Source organism: Homo sapiens, chromosome 10, assembly GCF_000001405.40.
Source record: "Homo sapiens chromosome 10, GRCh38.p14 Primary Assembly".
Lineage (NCBI taxonomy): Eukaryota > Metazoa > Chordata > Mammalia > Primates > Hominidae > Homo > Homo sapiens.
This window is the reverse complement of record NC_000010.11, coordinates 126,106,561-126,126,379: the sequence shown is the minus strand read 5'-3', so window position 1 is coordinate 126,126,379 and position 19,819 is coordinate 126,106,561. Positions and strand designations below refer to the sequence as shown.

The 19,819-nt window shown below is 41.7% G+C and overlaps 1 protein-coding gene across 5 annotated transcripts in view; it reads left to right on the top strand.

The window, feature by feature from the left end:
• The window catches only part of ADAM12 (ADAM metallopeptidase domain 12), a 376,087-nt gene that overhangs the window by 262,098 nt on the left and 94,170 nt on the right, over positions 1 to 19,819 (top strand). For all 5 annotated transcript variants that reach the window (NM_001288973.2, NM_003474.6, NM_001288975.2 and 2 more), the window contains exons 6-8: positions 8,156 to 8,342; positions 16,540 to 16,605; positions 17,716 to 17,787. In NM_001288973.2, the coding sequence (NP_001275902.1) occupies positions 8,156 to 8,342; positions 16,540 to 16,605; positions 17,716 to 17,787 (325 nt within the window). The remainder of the gene's footprint in view (positions 1 to 8,155; positions 8,343 to 16,539; positions 16,606 to 17,715; positions 17,788 to 19,819) is intronic.

Below are 19,819 nucleotides of genomic sequence, written 5' to 3'. Positions count from 1 at the left end.
GTGACAGGAAGCAGGTTGCACAAAACCACACGAGGAATTCCGCAGAAGGGCCCTAGATGCTGGGGATCCTGAAGGAAGGGTTGGCTAACCTGGACCTCGAAGGTCACTCATCAGCCTCGAAGGTCATCCCCAGCATTAGTGCTGTGCGTGACCCTGAAGAGGAGGCTAACCATCCAGTCTGATGAGGGCAAGTGACCAGGCCCAGGAGCCAGGTCCCAACTGGGACATCTTGGCTCTGCTGCTGATTGGCTGTATGGCTGTGTCTGTTTCATAGGGCTACCTTCACAAACTGCCATAAACTAGGTGGCTTCAAACAACAGAAATTTAGTCTCTCACTGCTTTTCAGGCCAGAAGTCTGAAATCAAGGGGTCAGCAGGGTTGGTTTCTTCAGCAGAGTCTACGGAAGAATCCCTCCCACATCTCCCTCCTCGCTTTGGGTGGCTTCTGGCCATCCCTGCTATGCCTTGACTTGTAGATGTCACTCCCGTTTCTGCTTGCATCTTTGCTTGGCCTTCTTCCCTACGTCTGTGTGTCTCCTCTTCGGTCTCTTCTAAGGACATGTGTCGTTAGATTTATGGCCCACCCTAGTCCAGGACAATCTCATCTTGAGATCCTTAATCTAATTACATTTGCAAAGTCCCTTTTCGCAATAAGGTCACGTTCACAGGTCCAGAGATTAGGACTTAAACATATCTTTTCTGGGGGCTGGGGGGGACACTATTCAACCCCCTGCAGTGACCTGGGGACTCTCATCTTTATTTTCCTCATTAGTAAAATGGGCTCATGTTATCTGCTTTACAGGATTGCTGTAAATATTAAAGAAAATAATATATTCCTGGCTGAGCACAGTGGCTCATGCCTGTAATTCCAGCACTTTGGGAGGCCGAGGCTGGCGGATCACGGGGTCAGGAAATCGAGACCCTCCTGGCCAACATGGTGAAACCCCATCTCTACTAAAAATACAAAAGCTAGCTGGGTGTGGTGGCACATGCCTGTAATCCCAGCTACTCAGGAGGCTGAGGCAGGAGAATCCCTTGAACCAGGGAGTCAGAGGTTGCAGTGAGCTGAGATCACGCCACTGTACTGTAGCCTGGTGACAAAGCGAGACTCCGTTTCAAAAAAAAAAAAAAGAAAAGAAAAGAAAAAAAAAAGGAAGTAATACATTCGAGAGCCTGGCTCATGGGGGCCATGAAGGATCAAGAGTGACTGCTGATAGGTCCAGAGTTTTGGGGGGAATGATGAAAATGTCTGCAATTAGATAGTGGTGATGTTTGCATGACTCAGTGAATAAGCTAGAAACCATTGGATTGCATGCTTTCAAGGAGTGAACTTAATGCTGTGTGAATTATTTTTCCATAACACTGAAATTTAAAAAAGGAGCCTGACTCAGGGAATCTTTTCATACATCATAGCTGCTATTATTATTATTGATGTGCTGGTAATGCTGGTAATAACACTTTTCTTTTTCTTTTTTTTTTTTTTTTGAGACGGTGTCTCACTCACTGTGTCACCCAGGCTGAAGTGCAGTGGTGCGATCTTGGCTCACTGCAACCTCCGCCTCCCAGGTTCAAGTGATTCTCCTACCTCAGCCTCCCGAGTAGATGGGATTACAGGCACGCACTATCACACATGCTAATTTTTGTATTTTCAGTAGGAATGGGGTTTCACAATGTTGCCCAGGCTGGACTGGAACTCCTGACCTCAAGTGATCTGCCAGTCTCAGCCTCCCAAAATGCCAGGATTACAGGCATGAGCCACCATGCCCAGCCCTTGGTAATAACTATTCTTAATGTGTTTTATCACAGTTTAAACTCTTACCTCCTCTGTCGTGCTCCCACACCCTGGTCATGAGATATATTTGAAATGGGAGCCACGGGCAAGGGGTCTTTGTATGTCTAGCCTAGTGTCTCGCGCATAGTAAAAGGATAAAGAATATTTGTTTTGACTGTACCTGAGTAGTTCACATGGAAATTACTGAAGCCCTGTGGTGCGTATGTGTTAAGTAATACTGCTGCCACGACTGTTTATCAAACATGTATGGGGTGAGATATTACTTTTACCCAGGAGTTGCTCCAAAAAAAAAAAAAGCCGAAATTAAATTTCAAGCCAACTGCTTTTCCACCACATGATTGACAGCACCACACTGAGACCAAAAGTCTTTTTCTAGGAAATTCAGTTAGCAGTTGGACACTGAGCTAGCCAGGATAATTCATGTTTTCTAATCATCATCTTATTACAGGCAGTCAAAATCCATGTGCCACTGTCCTGCTTGCCGGGTGCAGTCAAAAAAATCAGGATCAGACATTAAGCGGCCCCGGTGCCTGCTGCATCGTGGCTTTGGAGATTAAAAACTAATTTTCAGAAGGACAAAAACTTATCTTGAGGAAATATAGGTCTCTTGAGTGTCCACTTTGAAAGCTAAAATAATCAACTAATAAAATTTTAATAGATTCCTCTTTGTTTCCTGTCAAGGAAAAACAACAGGATTTTACATGTTAAAGGAAGGCCGCTGGTTTTCAAAGCAGCGGCTCCATTTTCTCTTTCTAATTCTAATTCTAGTCCTTTTCATTTTTAATTCTGCTTTTTTCATGCTCCTGCTGGTTCTGGGCCCCTCTCTCAAAACTGCACAAAGGGAAGCAGGCGAGTGTGGGGTTGAGAGGCCCAAGCCCGGGGCACACAGGTCCCGCCTGGGTCCCCAGCTCTGCCACCTGCGCACCTTGGACAGTGGGGTCATGGCGGGAGCTGCAGCCATGGTCAGCAGAGTGATCAGTGTACGGAGCGCAGCCCAGAACCTGGATCCTAGAAGAGTGCCACAGGGGGGTGACCCTGACCACCCTGAGAACCCCCTTCTCTCTGCCCCAGAACTTGGCCTGAGCCTGGGGTGATGGCTGGGCCGGCCTCCTCCTGTCGCTCTAGAGAAGGGACCCACGGTCTTCATCTTTCCCAAACATTGGAGACTTTCTTCTCATCTTTTCCCCCTACTCTACCTAGGGAGAAAGAACCCCACACGCAAAGTCCACTGGATTTAAATTCCATGCTCTGAGAGTCTTCCAACTTCAGGTTTACAACTAAATATCTGTGACATTCAACTTAAAACAAATTACATTCACTTATCTAACTCAGGGCCAGTAAGGGCTGTGAGAACATCAAAATGTATCTCAGAAACCCTGAATGCTTCAATTTTGTGTCCACTGTTGTTTCCAGCAATTCTTTAGAGCTAAATGATTAATTATACCCAAGACAGTCCAAAGCAATTATTTAATTAAGCTTATTATAGGCTGCCAATTGTTTGCAGTAAAGGGAAGGCCTTCATCCTGATTTCTCAACATCTGGCCTTTGGATGACTTAAAAGATAAAAGAAGATAAGAGAATATTTTTACGACTAAGTAACAATTGCTAGAAATATTCCACTATGTAGAAAAACTTTTTCAGTAATTTGCTTCTCATGATTAGAATGTGGTGACATGTTTTACAGTTAAGTGTTCAGCTTATTTAGATCCGATGTAAAATAGAAAATGTTGCAATACAAAATGAAATGTTACTGCCATTTTCTTTTTAGGGCAGAATTGATGGTATTCATTTCCACTTTCCCCTTGCCTGTTTTTGTTTTTTTTGTTTTTGAGAGGGACTCTCGTTCTGTCACCCAGGCTGGAGTACAGTGGCACATCTCGGCTCACTGCAACCTCTGCCTCCTGGGTTCAAGCGATTCTCCCACATCAGCCTCCCAAGTAGCTGGGACTACAGGTGCGTGCCACCACACCCAGCTACTTTTTGTATTTTTAATAGAGATGGAGTTTCGCCATGTTGTCCGGCTGGTCTTGAACTCCTGACCACAGGTGATCCACCCACCTCGGCCTCCCAAAGTGCTGGAATTACAGGCGTGAGCCACCGCACCCTGCCTCCCTTTGCCTATTTTTTTAAGTTCGCATCCTTAATAAAATCAACTTTAATAAACAAAAATCCTCTCCTACCTATTCCAAAGTTAGAAGTCTACATTTTATTTCATAAAGAACATCTCAGAGAAGGAGACACAAGCCACCCCACAGAGTTGATGACCAAAGTAATCCCTGAATGATCTGTTTGGTGATATACGTGGACACCAGTGTGGGGGAAGGCAACACTTCATAGAATGACTTTTAGTCAATCTGGACTTTGGATGACTTAGAAGGAGACATGAGAACATTTTCATGACTAAGTAACAATTTCTACAGATTTGGGATTTGAAAATATTGAAAAATGTTTTAGTTGCTCCAAACCACATTGGACCCCTTCTTCTCTGAAGGATTAAGTGTTACGGTTCTTCAAATGCACATCTTAGCTCTCACAGGATTTCTAATTGTCCCGGATATCTCGATGCTGCCTTGTCTATTAGGATACCAGTATCCTGAGCATGATAGATCTGTTTCTCCCATTGCCCATGACAACTCATAAAACAGGATTGGTGGAGTAAGCCAGTTAAATACTAATGAGTTGATTAGTCTGTATTTGCTTACCAGTTGTGTTCAAAATAGATACTTGACTAACTCAAGCCTCTTCCTTCCGTATCATTTGAGCGTTGAGATACTGTCAATCTATTAAAATTTAAGAGTTGTTAAATACTACCTACGAATGGGCCATCAATGAGCATAGGATGATGAATGACTGAACAAATATGTAAGCAGTAATGAATGACATAGGAACACCTTACACAGTCCCTTCTTTGGAAAGAAGCTTAGATTGAGGAAAACTGATGGAGTTTGCAACTTGACCAGCTATTCCTCGAGGATTGATGTATACCTAGATCCTTGGGTTGCTGCAATATAAATTATATATTAGAACTAATTATTATATAAGATTATATATTATTATATAATTATATAATATATAATTTTCTATTATATTATATATTGTTACATATTATATAATTTCTGATATATAACATATTGCATATTATATAATATGCAATATATAATATATTGCATATTATATAATATGCAATATATTATATATTGCATATAATATATAATTGCATATGTAATATATAATATATGTTACATGTAAGATAATATATATTATGTATTGCATATATAATATATATTACATGTATAATATAATATAGTATATTATATATTATATAATATATAGTATGTATATACTATATAGTATATATACTATAGTATATAATATATATAGTATATAGTATATATATAGTATATAGTGTATATAGTATATATAGTATATATAGTATATATAGTATATATAGTATATAGTATATATACTATATATATACTATATATAATATAGTATATTATACATCTAATATATAATATATTTAATTATATTGCATATAATATATTATATTGCATATATAATATATAATATATATTATATTGCATATGTAATATATAATATATGCTATATTGCATATGTAATATATAATATATATTATATTACATATGTAATATATAATATATAATTATATTGCATATATATTATATAATATATATTATTATATATTGTGTATTATTATATATTAGAACTAATGCCCTAAACCTCATTCCATTTACATAGACCTTATCCTCACTCCTGAATTTGCTAAAATAATCTGCAAAATTTTGTGGTTATGTATGTTGGGGCTCAGAAAATGATACCCCAAAATATGGATCTTTGACATGCTGAACTGAAGGAAAACCCTCAAGGTCTCTCTGGCCCCTGGCACCCACCTTCACCCCATCTGACTCTCCAAAAGCACAGGATGAAGTTGTTCTCTGACATTCCCTTATCTGCCTAAACTATAGACCCTCCAAAAAAGAAATAAATTACCTTGGTCCCTCTCTGAGTTTTCATTAACTAATGTCACAGGAAGAAAGACTGAAGCCTGTCAACACATCCAGACAGACTTTTGTCATAAACCGTTGTCTGTTCTGCAGGCCCAACAGACTTTGTCCCAGGCCATTGTATGTTCTTCCAGCCCAATGAATTCCCCTAAAAATCATTTACTCACCCCCTAAAATTATCCATACTTCCCTATCTCCCTTTCTCCTAAGAAGAAGGGTGTATAACCATCTGTGCCCCCATTGAGTAATCATTCTTCTACAATTCACCTGTGCTATGACTGTTAAAATAAAATTGTATGCCTTTTCTCCCATAATATTTCTGCCTTTTGTCAGTTGATTTGTAGTGAACTTTCAGAGGGCAAAGGAGGACATTTTCCCTTAGCCCCTACAGGTATGTATGTGAATTATTCTAGGAAGAGTCTAAGGAGGTTCATGTCTCACAAAAGGTTAGTAGTCACTGTATTAGAAGGGTCCATTTCCAGTCAGATGAATTTTACATGAAAATTTTGTGTCTTTCTAAAGTGGAGAGATAGTGGTCACCTCGCTAAATAACATAAGGTACTAGACACATGGGAATTCAGAGATGCCAGTTTGCTGTTACCCAAATTGTCATTTCTCCAAAGAAAACCTTTCTCTCAACATCAGGAAGCACCTTTTAAATTAAAGCACTTCACTGCCCCACCTTAGCAAAGAGAGAAATGAAAACCAAGCTGCAGGCCGAGGTTCCCATCGTTTGAAGGAACCCGACAGCCCAAGGCTAGCATTACTCATTTCCAGGCAGTGGGATGTGGCCTTAGCTGTGAGCTCCAGAAGGTCAGACATGTGTCATGGTCCATGGCTAAATGTCACCTTCTATCTCTGCAAGTTAGAGTCTTCAGCAAATTTGTCCATTTTTAAAAAGAATCTATGCTTTCTTTCCCAAACCTAAAGACTGGCTCAAAAGGTTCTTTCTTAGTTATTGTCATTCCCAGAAATGTATTTATATTTTTAATGCTATATTTTATATCACAGAGCCATGAGTGACCAGTATTCCTATGAGCAGATGGGTTAACAAAATACAGAACTTTCCTGAAGTTGTCAGTCTTTCAGTTAACCTGTTAACAGATGCCTAATCCATGAATCTGCCCTTATTAATAGTAAAGAAAGCTACCATCTCTCAAGCACTGACCTGGGGCCTCCCCTGGGCTAAGCGTTTTGACTCGATGACATAGCAACCCTGAGAAGTAGGTACCATTATCCCCATTTTACAGGTGAAGAAACCAGGGCTCAAAGTTAAGGTCACATAACTAGTAAGTAAAAAACTGGAACTCAAACCCAGAGCTTCCAGACTCCAGAGGCCACCCTTGCAGCGTTGAGACTGGCACTTCTCCCTGTAGTGTTCTTGATTCCAGAAAGAGCTGAACACAGGATCCAGAGGCCGGACCTCAGCCTCCAAGAAGCAGTGCTAATGTTCTGTGTACTTAAGTGGGTTCCTTTATTCACACATCTCCCACAAATTAAATAAGTAAATAAAAAAATATAAATTTGTACTCATGGTGCTTATAATTCCATCAAATATTTAGGGAATAGGGCTGATCAGGATAAATAATTAGATGTAGGAATTGTCCTTTTATAAAAAGATTTCCTAATGGCTTTTGGAGCAACTTGGATGGAACTAGGGCCATTATTGTAAATGAAATAACTCAGGAATTGAAAAACAAATATGGCATTTTCTGACTTCTAAGTGGGAAGTAAGCTATGGGTACACAAAGGCATCCAGAGTAATATAATGGACATTGGAGACTCAGAAGGGGGAGGCCAAGAGGCGGGAGAGGGATGAAAGAATACCTGTGGGGTACAACGTACACTACTCAGATGACAGGTGCACTAAAATCCTAGACTTCACCATTACACAATTTATCCACGTAACCAAAGGCTACTGTACCCCTGAGGCTATTGAAATATTTTAAAAGTAAACATTTTCCTTTTGAAATGTGTCTGCTAATTCAGATACAGTTATCTTCTAAGCAGTTAAAACATCTTTTTCCTCATTCTTCTTCCCGGCAATATATCTTTGAGACATAAAAAGAGATAAAAACATACAAAAGCAAAATGCACTGTATTCTTTACCATAAAATATTTCAAACAGAAGAAAATTCCTAGGCTAACTTTCCAAAAGATTTGCCAAATGAATCAATGCAAACATATGTCACAGAAACGTCCTTTCCAATCAAAATCTGAGAATATAAGTAAATTGGTGTTTCTGTTTTCATTCTCTCTCTTGTTAAGAACTGTGTCTTGGCCATAAACAAGAAGCTGTCCTTAAAATTATATATTTTTTCTTGTTTCTTTTTCAACAGGGGACTTATTGTGTTTGAAAATGAAAGCTATGTCTTAGAACCAATGAAAAGTGCAACCAACAGATACAAACTCTTCCCAGCGAAGAAGCTGAAAAGCGTCCGGGGATCATGTGGATCACATCACAACACACCAAACCTCGCTGCAAAGAATGTGTTTCCACCACCCTCTCAGACATGGGCAAGAAGGGTAAGGGGGATACCTGATTTTGTGTTTCTGGAAAGCTAGGAGCTCAAGCTACGGATACCCCACACTAGGACATCTGGAGAAATGTTGCCATCTAGATGATGCGGCATCTGGGGGATGGAAGTGCCCAGTTTATCTGGAGGTGGTAGACATTATACAGTGGGACACAACCATAAGCCAAATCCCCATCACTGTACTGCAGATGTCAGTCTCAGACTCATTAAAATATGCTGAGGAAAGTCACACAGTTGGGATCAAAGGATGACAAAATTACGCCCCCCCAACTTCTACCCCCACAAGCTCAAGATTCATGGAATCTCCCAAGAGACCCTACTATGGTCCTAGGCCCAGGGTTGGGCGCCACCATGACAAGCAAGACAAGATTGGACCCTGACCCACTCTCTAGCAGCTCTCCATCTACTGGAGGTGAAAGACTACATAGAGCCTTCCTTATTAGCAAGTTTGGGTTCTTATAATTTGCAGAGAATTCTCACTCTTTGCCTACACACTTATGCAGAGGTGAACTGGGCCTTCCTCCACGTGATGTGGCTCAGGAATCTTGCTTATCCACAGTCCAAGCTGCAAATGCTTGTCCTAGTTCCCTCCTGGGACCGTCCAAGCAGTCTGTGTTTTCTGGCCACCAGCCCCTGGATCTGCTGATAAAATGTCTTCCTTTTTGCAGCAGCACTGGAAAGAGTAGTTGCCTAAGGGAGTCTGTGCTGCAGACAGACTTCCCTTCCTGACACGTGTAGTGTCACACCATGAAACCTCCACCCCTAAGGGTGGCCTGCCCCTTTTCTCTCTGGCATTATGTGGGCAACAGAGGCTACAGTAGAGCTCTTTTAATAAGGATTAAAGGCAATCGTTCCCAACATTTGGCTGGAGGCCCTGAATTTAAATGAGCAGAAACAGATAGGAAATTATCAACAATTTCCTGATTTTCCATTTCTGGATTTCCTGTTCCTCTGTTGACAAGAAATCAAGAAAATTTATAGATAGGATGTCGCTTGTGCTTATATTTGACTGTCCGAGAACATTTCTTCTAGGTTTCTCCTAACCCGTTGTTGTCTCCTAACTTGAATTTCAGTAGACCACTGCTTAGCACTCAATATTTAATGAATATTATTCTTGGTTCATTCTAAATCATTTTTCTAGTTGGAAACAGTAGGGGTTATCCCAAATGATACCTTCTAATTCTTAGAATTCCCCTCATACCTGTGGATAGATGTCTGTTCCCCTAAAACTGCTCTTATCGGAACCAGTTCAGGACTTTTAACTCTAATTTTACATTCATTCTTTCAGTCCAGGTATTCTACTTGTGTAACCCTCACGTCTTCTGTTTGCTAGTATGTTTCTAAGACTTTCTATGGCAGGTGCTCACAACCTCTTTTTCGTTTCCTGCCCCATCACAGGAAGGGGAGGAACTCTCCCATCTGGTACTGTGGCTCACCTTGACATGGCTGCTTGGTGGCAGAACACTGTATCCTAATCCCAAGGAACAGAGCTTGAAAATTACCCCCCCAACCTCTACCCTTACAAGCTCAAGAGACTTTTCAACTTGTGCTTCTCCCCGCAACCTGTCTTAGTGGTGGATTTAAAGATCAGCCTCTGGGGTCCCACGGCAGGTTTATTTTACTCTTCAAATGCTTTTGCCTTTGATTCCAAACCTTGGAGAAGATGTGATTAAGCTGTAGCTTTACCGGTCATAAACAAGTAGAACATTTGCATTTTGTTTTCCAGGCTCTTTGCTTTGAGTACCTTGTTGAATGCACGTTGCCCACGTTACAAGATTTATAATTTGATGGCTTAAATGACACTCAAATATGTTTGTCGTTTCATATAGAAGTACACACTTGGTCTGTACTTGCCAGCCATATTTTAATTCTTTTAGCTTACAGCTTTCTAGAAGCATGATTGTAATTTCCAGTCATTTTGACTTGTGGAGAAATGGGGAGAATGGGAATAACAACGGTGCTTTGTTAATAATGCATATTGAAGTGCAAATGAACCTTTAAATTGAAAAGGGAAGGCATCAATGCCGGTCAACTCAGTTCTCAATATTTCTCTCTAGAAAGCACTGTGATGGTTTTTATGGAAGAGAAAGCATCCTGGACTTAAAATGCATGTATATAATGAAAATGGTGCGAAAAATAATTTCAAATATGTGGAATCCTTGTGAATTGGAATTATATAGTAGATTGTTTTGGTTAGCACCTACGGTAAATATGAAAGGGACATTTCCTGCCCCACTTATGCTGCCTTTATTTCACTCTTAAAAAAAAATCAATAGAAAGGCTGCTAACTAATCTTGTTTATGCAATGCAGCAACTGCATTTGCTTTTTCCCTGCATTTTTCTGCCCCCACTAAATGTTAACTATTGCAAAGACTGGTTTGCAGACTCTGATTTTTCTGCAGATGTTTGCGTTTTTCTTCACAGAGCATCAGGAATAAATCTGCACTCAGGGTATACACTGGCTGTGATATAAACCTGAGCTATTGTTTGTCATTTTTACAAGGCTCCACATTAGATTTTAGTGAGAACCCAGGCTGCCCCTCGAAGGGCACAGAGAAACAGGGAGCGTCACAGTCAGCTCGTTCTCTCTGTGGATTTTTGAGTCTCCATCCTGAAGCCTCCTTACTGTTCAGCTCCCCCACAGCAGACTCCTTCCCTCTCCATCGGCTACTCATTCAAGAATGCAAACTAATTTTAACATCATCCTAAGCAAGCTCTGAGCAAGGCAAAGATGGTAAATCTACTGGAGAAAATCACATAAGACATCCCAAAGGCAAATGCAAATTATTTTTGAATTGCCTTTTCTTTAGGGATTATCTGTGCCATTGTTCCCCTCCGTTAGTATGGATAATTATGAGTCAAATAGAAAAGTTGCTGCCTTCTCTGAAAAGAAATGTTTGCTTGGGTACTGTGTACATATAGGACAGCGAGTTGGGGAGGTGCTGTTTTGCTTCCTCGAAGGTGGCCATTCTGAAATGAACTGGTGCTATTGCTTTTGTGTTTCTAGACAGCCTATCGTATTTGTTTAATAGAAGGCACAGTAGTGGTGGGGTATTTGTAGCCATAGCAGTATATAGCACATTATATGTAGAGCCTAATGAGAGTTGAATATCAGGAACTGGCCAGAACTGTTTGAAAACTCCTTAAATATGACAGGCATACTGAATTCCTCTCTAACAACCATCCTTGCTTCCATGCCTCTTCTAAGAGACTATCATGTTCTTTTACTACCTTAGTTGTTCTTAAAGCTTGGTGGTGGGGGCTCACGCCTGTAGTCCCAGCACTTTGGGAGGCTGAAGCAGGCAGATCACCTGAGGTCAGGAGTTCAAGACCAACCTGGCCAACGTGGTGAAACCCCATCTCTACGAAAAATACAAAAATTAGCAGGGCGTAGTGGCAGGCACCTGTAATCCCAGCTACCTGGGAGGCTGAGGCAGGAGAATCACTTGAAACCAGGAGGCAGAGGTTGTAGTGAGCTGAGATCATGCCATTGCACTCTAGCCTGGGCGACAAGAGTGAAACTCGTCTCAAAACAAAAAACAAAACAAAAGAACCGCTTGGTGGGGAACGGGGCAGCACCACTTCCTTGGCCCTGGGCTTTGAATATCTATTTATGTGAGTGGAGGCTCCAGTTTTCCAGGTGTGGATTCCTAGTGAGTTTCAAATCCACTGAAGCTCTGGATAAATAAATAATAGATCTCACTTGTGCCATTCGTTTTTAAGGCTTAATTTCAATACTTCACATTTCTCCCTATTAACATTCAGTTTGCCGGATTCAGCCTGTTCTCCTGGCAGAATGTCTCATTTGTTTACTTCTGCCCGCCTACATGTCGGCCAGGTGTCAGAGGCTGTATCCTGTGTGGATATGATCAGTGTGTGCTGTCCCCATGCCAGTCACGGTCAAGGATGGTAGAGACAACCTTTCCTAACCGAAATTGGAGCTCAACTTACAAATACGCAGAAAGTGATGTTAGAGTCAAGGCATGGAGCGTTGCTTGCTTGAGCTAATACTGATTGTTTTCTTGCCTAGAGGAAGAGAAACCAAACTTTTGATTCATTTCATTTGCTGATATTGCTGGCGATGGACACTTTGGCTGTGGTCTCATTGTGATTGTTGTTTTCTCGCTGTCAGGTGATAGCACAGCTGGCTTGCATGTGGCTACCCATGTCCATCATGACTGTCACCTCTCACCTGGACGACTGCATGGCCTCCTTGCTGCACTCTCAGCTTCCAGTATCATCCAATATCATCTCCCTAGAATCCGTTCTCCTTCCAGTAGCCAGAGCAATATATTATATATATATATATATATATATATATATATATATATATATATATTTTTTTTTTTTTTTTTTTTTTTTTTTTTTGAGACGGAGTCTCACTGTGTTGCCCAGGCTGGAGTCAGTGGTGCCATCTCGGCTCACTGCAACCTCCACCTCCCAGGTTCAAGTAATTCTTGTGCCTCAGCCTCCCGAGTAGCTGGGACTACAGGCGTGTACCACTACACCTGGCTAATTTATCTGTTTTTAGCAGAGACAGGGTTTTACCATGTTGATCAGGCTGGTCTTGAACTCCTGACCGCGAGGGATTCGCCCACCTCAGCCTCCCAAAGTGCTGGGATTACAGGCGTAAGCCACCACGCCCAGTTGCAATATTTTTAAAATCTCACATTCAAGGCCCCCATGCTCTTAGATTATTAGGCTATCACTCAACCTCCTTGCCATGGCCCCAGTGTCCTGTCCCCATCTTCCACCTCCTCTCGTCCACTCTTGTCCGCCATTCGCCAGACTCCAGCCATACGGCCTGTTGCCAACACCCACAAGCTCTCCCCAGCCTCAGGACATCTGCTGTTGCCATTCCATCTACCTGAAACACTGTTCCCACAATCTTTCCACACATGCCTCTTTCTCATCCTTCAGGCCTCAGCTACCTTTGGCCTGCCCACTGCCCAGCTTCATCCTACCTGCAGAACCCTGTTTATTTCCTTTGTTGTACTTTTCACAGACTCTCTCTTTCTTTCGTTAATTCTGCATGGGCTCACCTTCTCCCAGGCCCCACCAGAATATGAGTTTCAGGAGGACACTGGATTTCCCGAATATGGGTTTCCTGAATATGAGTTTCAGGAAGACACTGGGTTTCAGGAATATGGGTTTCAGGAGGACACTGGGTTTCAGGAATATGAGTTTCAGGAGGACACTGGGTTTCAGGAATATGAGTTTCCTGTCCACACTGTATCCCCAGCACCCTACACAGGGCCTAGTGCAAACAGCATCCCTGGTAGATAGCATGGGATGAATAAATGTTATACAAATGGTCTGACCCATATGAAGAAAGAATTGCAATGAGGATTTATTATAGCCCCAATGTCAACTTGCTTTTCTAACTTGAGTTAAGTTCCCATTGCCAGAGTCCTCATTGCAGGCTGATCGGGGGTTATTTATCCTGGGGAACTTGGCTGTGATGACTTTGAGAGGCCCAGGAACTGGTTCTTTCTTGAGCAAGATTCAAAGAAGGCCTCTGCCTCCACCTGGGAACGGAGACTTTTGGGCTAATCCCAGAGGCTGATGTTCCCGTTTGAGGAAGGGCTTTTGTTCATAACCCCCCAAAATGAAAATCCAGTAGAGCAACCAGTTTCTTTTTTTAAATTTTTTAAAATTATTATTTTAATTTCTTCTTTAAAAAAAAAAAAACAGGATACATGTGCAAAACGTGCAGGTTTGTTACATAGGTATACGTGTGCCATGGTGGTTTGCTGCACCTACTGACCCATCCTCTAAATTCCCTCCTCTCATCCCCCACCCCTCAACAGGCCCTGGTGTGTGTTGTTCCCCTCCCTGTGTCCATGTGTTCTTATTGTTCAACTCCCACTTGGTTCTCTGTTCCTATATTAGTTTGCTGAGTATGATGGCCTCCAGCTTCATCCATGTCCCTGCAAAGGACACGATCTCATTCCTTTTTATGGCAGCATAGTATTCCGTGGTGTATGTATATACCACATTTTCTTTATCCGGTCTATCAGTGATGGGCATTTGGATTGGTTCCATGTCTTCAGCAACCAGTTTCAAATGTTGCTCTCCATATCACAAATTTAAAAACATGATTCTTTGTTGTTGTTTTTTTAACTGGACAGCCAGATAGGTGGAAATCACGTGGGGATAATGTAAACCTCTCTCTGTGTGTGCAGCTAACAGGAGAATAAACCTCCGCCCTGAGCCGGCGACTCCCCCAGTGCTTCTCTTTATTATGTGGTTAAGCTTCCCTCTGAGCTTGCAGTTCTCTGAATTCATGAGAAAATGTAGACTTCTCTGAAAATTGCAGAGACAGGAAAATTGTGTTCACATGTTTGTTTTTATTATCTGGAATTGTGTATTTTCTAAATGGGGATCTTAAGCCAGTTGGAAATATCCCATGGTCGTTTATTTCACCCCTCTGCAGGCTGAAAAGTGTAAACGTCTAAACAACCAGATTCCTTTCCATGAGCTTTTCAATGAGAGATTAGTTTTTCATTTCTAGAGCTATATTTTCTTCTGCATAATTAGCCAAATTTTTTTAATGATTAATTAGGGAATTATGGACAACAGAGAGGGTTCTGCCTCTTTCACGCCTCAATGAGGAAAAAGGGCAAGATCTTCACACTTTCAGAAGGTGTCTCATTTTGTGTGCACCCGTGGGCACCATGGGGGCAAATGTCTTTTCTTTTATAAGTAACGCATAGTTATCACCATAAAGCATGCCTACAACATATAGTTACAAAGCGTAACAGTTTCTTCTTGTAACATTGTAAAGATATGAGAAATTGTACCTTTCCTGGTGCTTTATTTTTCCTTTTCCATAAGGTTTCCAGATATCTTTAGGAACACCTAAATTCATGAATTAGCACAGCTGGGCAGCAAGAAGGAACACTGCTATAATACAAACATTTTTCTTGTAAAAGTCTGTTTGGAAGATCCCGGACTGATGGGGATTTGTTTTATAAAAGATGTTTCCCTCAGGATTATGTGACTGGAAACCTGATTCAAAGCATACTTTTGTGATTTTCTTTTGCTTTTGTCTGAAAGAGTGGTTATAACATGCAAGTTTTAAACTTGAAGCAGTGTGTGTAGTTAACTCATAAACCAGCAATATCAGTCATCAGGACCAAAGACCAACTTAACCCCCACTTCCTCCAACTGCATTTTATGGCAGAAACAGAAGGCTTTGTTTTTTGTTTTTAATGTTTGCTTTTTGAGACCACCCTCCACGAACTGCTTTATTTCTCTTAAAAATGCATTTGGAATTCTTCCAGTAATTCACAGAAGAGTGTGAATGCTTTTTGAGGAAGTTTGATTAAAATGTGATCCACTTCAGGAGCTGCCTTTGTGGGGGACGGGGTTCCTATTTCTGCTGCCTGAATCATCTCCATTCATCCACTTCCATATCCACTTTCCATGTTCTCTCAACTGTCTCACTCTTACGAAATCCCTGTTCTCCAGGGGCATATTGCAGTCTTAGTTTTTTCTTAACTCTGTTTCTTTCCGTTCTCTTTCTCTTTGCTCTTTTTTTTTTCTCCTCATACCTTTCTCACTTCTCTGTTCATTAGTCTGACAGTTTCCTTTTCTCCAGACCACCCCGGTCTTCCATTGCTTCTAACTAGATTTTTACATTATCATTTAAAAAATGATTATACAGTTCCTGTTCAAAATGTATTCTCCTCCACTTTTCTTAAGTCTCAAAACAGGTACACTTGGACCATAAAGACAAAGGGAACAGCCACAGTGCATTGAACTCCGTCGTCTTCTCTGATGACCTTCAAATGTGGTCATCAGAGAAGACCTACACGTGGTCTGAAATAAATGACTTTTGACTGGCTCCTGTTCTAGAGAGTGCTTTGGTTTTGTTTGTTTATGTGCTCGTTTTGTTTAATAATCTTGATTTGCTGCTCCAATAATCCATGATTCAGCAGAAAGCTTAAACTCCTTTTTAAGGGTTTTCCAAGTGGAAATGGAAGCTGGTTACTCATGTTGAGAAGGTTTTACAAAGAGTTGGTTGGAGTTGGGGTAAACTTCTAGATGGAATGGAGGTGTGGGGGCCTGGCGGGGATGGGGGATATACATTCTCAACCTAAAGTGTTTAGATTGAGAGACATTGACAGTCTTAATGCCAGAGAGGCATTAAGAGAGATTAAGTGCATGTTTACTCTTGGCAGCATAAAAGAGAGACCCTCAAGGCAACTAAGTATGTGGAGCTGGTGATCGTGGCAGACAACCGAGAGGTAAGAACTTTTTAAAATTTCTCAGTATGGTTGGTTAGAGATAAAAGAAAAAAGGACATGTTTTGCAAGTTATTACTTGCTTTAATGAACCTCATTTCCTATGTGCTCTTAAAAGCAATGGAAACAACCCATTGAAACAATGGTTTTCTGATTTTATAAAGCATACAATATTAAAAATTTATTTGATATATAAAGTAATGGCAAAGCCTGCAGGAAAAAACAGAGTTGCTCTATAGCTCAGCTCTCCAAACAAGGAGAATTAACTGAGAGGAATGACAGAAGGCTTTAGATTATATTCTAAAACATTTTGGGGAAAAGTTTAGTCTTTAAAATGGGACATTTAAAAAATATCCCATATGTCATTAATCAAAATGAATAAATGAAGGTATGAATGAAGGCTATAGAGACACAGCAGAAAAATCCTCCCCTCTGAGCTATAGCTTGATACTACATTCATTTTTTATTTTAATTAATTTTGAATTAGTTTTTCTAAAGATTATCTTCTCTGTATTTACTGCCTCATTGGCATATATGAATTGGGTGATTGGGTGATATTTTCTCATAGACTCTTTCAACACCTATGAATGAAACAGGCTTGACTATTTTTCAGAAAATGATTCCCATTCTGGAAGGTCAGATTAGAGAGGGGAATGGGAAATTTGTTGATTTTTTTGTCTATTCTCCTCTGTATTGTTTGACAAGCTGCCATGAGCTTCTATGACTTTTACTTTTTAATTTTTAAAAACAAATATAAAGAAAATTTCTCAGGAAGTTAAAATCAAGTTGATGATATGAAAAATGGCTTTGGACTGACTTCTAGTTGTCTGTTTCCTCTTTGCCAAAACAAGTCACTGCCTCCATCATTTATGAGGCTGGAAAATTGCAGAAGTTGCTGTCTTGAGAGCACTTGGCTTAGGCAAATTTCAGGGAATTTCAGGGAGTCCCCAGCCGGGAAAGTTAGTCGGCAGGATGCAAGCTCATTTTACCGTGAACTGTGGAGGGTCCCCAGTGGTTTGTAAAATCCCAAGACTTCACATTTCCAGAAGCCAGGAAGATGAAACGTGATTGATATTCTTGCTGGTATTAATGCTGCCATTTAAAATTGTTAAGTTTCAGAGGCAAGGAAAAGATCTGGAAAAAGTTAAGCAGCGATTAATAGAGATTGCTAATCACGTTGACAAGGTAAGTTCTTTTTCAGTAGTTAAATCATTCAGATCATGTAAATGTTTGGAAATGAGGTTGGGGGACCTCATCTGACTTAGCAAGGAGATGAGGTTCTGCCTCTGGGCCTTGGTTTGGAACTGTTTCCTGTCCTCTGAGTGTGTAATTCCTGGGTCCTGGGGCAGCTTCAGGAGATGCCAAACCACAGCAGTCTGGACTATGGTGGCCTTGGTGACATGTCTTCCTCCAGGCTCTCTTCCGGTCAGGTGGAATACCAGTCTGAGGGTGTTTTGGACTTCCCGATTAGCTCCAGAACCCCTACAGAGTTCACCTGATCCTTTGGATTCCTCCTGAGCCGGGCCTCTCCCAGGTCTCCCGATGACGGATCCCACAGGCCCCTTCAATCTGTCCCCATCATTGCAGGCCTGTACCAATGTAACCCTGAGGGTGGGCTTGCATTTATAAGGGATCCATAGGCTTCACTGTCCTGGAACACAGAAGTTGACTTTCAGCTAAATCAGCTATTGGAAAATCCCTCGCCAAGAACAAGTAGGTCAGAAACTCACCTTTCACAAAGATGATTTCCTTGCTGGAGGAGCCCCTGCAAACCAGGTCCTACTCCTGGGGTACTTGTTCACTAACCGCTCCTCACACTGCGGGCCGGCAAAGAAAATGGCAGCGCTCTCTGTCTAAACCACCTGTCCTTCCTCAGTGTATCCTGCTGGAGAGGATGTTGGCTATTTGCTGCTGACGACCCTTAGCCTAAAATAGGCTTCTCACAAGCCCCGCATATTGGAGTTGCCCTGTGAGCTTCTGAAAGCATTGCTGCCCTCAAGGGGCAGGGCGGGGGGGAGGTTAGACCTCGAATTTTCAGAAGCTCCCCAGCAATTCTCATGTGCAATGTGGATGGTGACCGCTGTCCTAAAGCAACCATAGTCTCTCAGCAATACTGAGTCTCTTGCCTGTGGGGACAGTGTGAGAAGGGATCTGGTCATGGCTGAGCCTTTCACATCCATGGTCCTCTGAAACAGCAGATTTTACACATAGTGGTTTGTGAGGGTGCCTCACTCTAGCCTTGTTTCCAAGCAATCTTATTCGATTTGAATTGCATTCTCTAAGTTTTCAGAAAAATGAAGGCAAAGGTCCTTTCAGAAATTCGGCTCCATATTACAAGACCTTATGCACTCTGCATCAATAATTCAGAATGAATCAGATGTGGTCCCTCCACTTGAGAACGTCAAGGCTGTGTAGGGAAGCAGACATGCAACCCACACAGCATGGTCCAAGGCATTAAGAACTAGATCCATGCTATGAATGGAGGTTTATGGGGATGCAGAAGAGAATCACTTACTTCTTCCCAGGGCCAGGGAGTCTTTGCAGGGAGAGGATCCTCAAAGGTAAGTTCAGTTTCACTGTGAGCATAGCAGAAGAAGGAGTATGTGTGATGTGGACATGTATGTGCTTCATGTACATGTACATGCATGTGTGTTCCTATATGTGTTCATGTGTGTGTTCATACGTGTGTGTGCCCTGCATGCATGTATGTGTGTTTGTGTACATGCATGCTCATATTGTATGCAAATGTATGCATGCAGAGCTAGGGCAGGAGGAGATGAAGCTGCAAAGATTCACGGTGCTCAAGGCCCCGGCTGTTCTACGAAGCCATCTTGATGTTATTCTGCAGTGAATAGAGAGCTAGGTGAATGTTTTTAAGCAGGGGAGAGACACACATGATAGTAGAAAAATATTCCTGCAGTTAGTGTGGAGGGTGGGATAACCAAAGACAAATAGGGCTGAGAGGAGCCTATTGCATAGAAATGATAAAGGCCTGAGCGGGCGCGGTGGCTTACGCCTGTAATCCCAGCACTTTGGGAGGCCGAGGCGGGCGGATCACGAGGTCAAGAGATCGAGACCATCCTGGCCAACATGGTGAAACCCCGTCTCTACTAAAAATACAAAAACTAGCTGGGCGTGGTGGCATGCGCCTGTAGTCCCAGCTACTCGGGAGGCTGAGGCAGGAGAATTGCTTGAACCCGGGAAGCAGAGGTTGCAG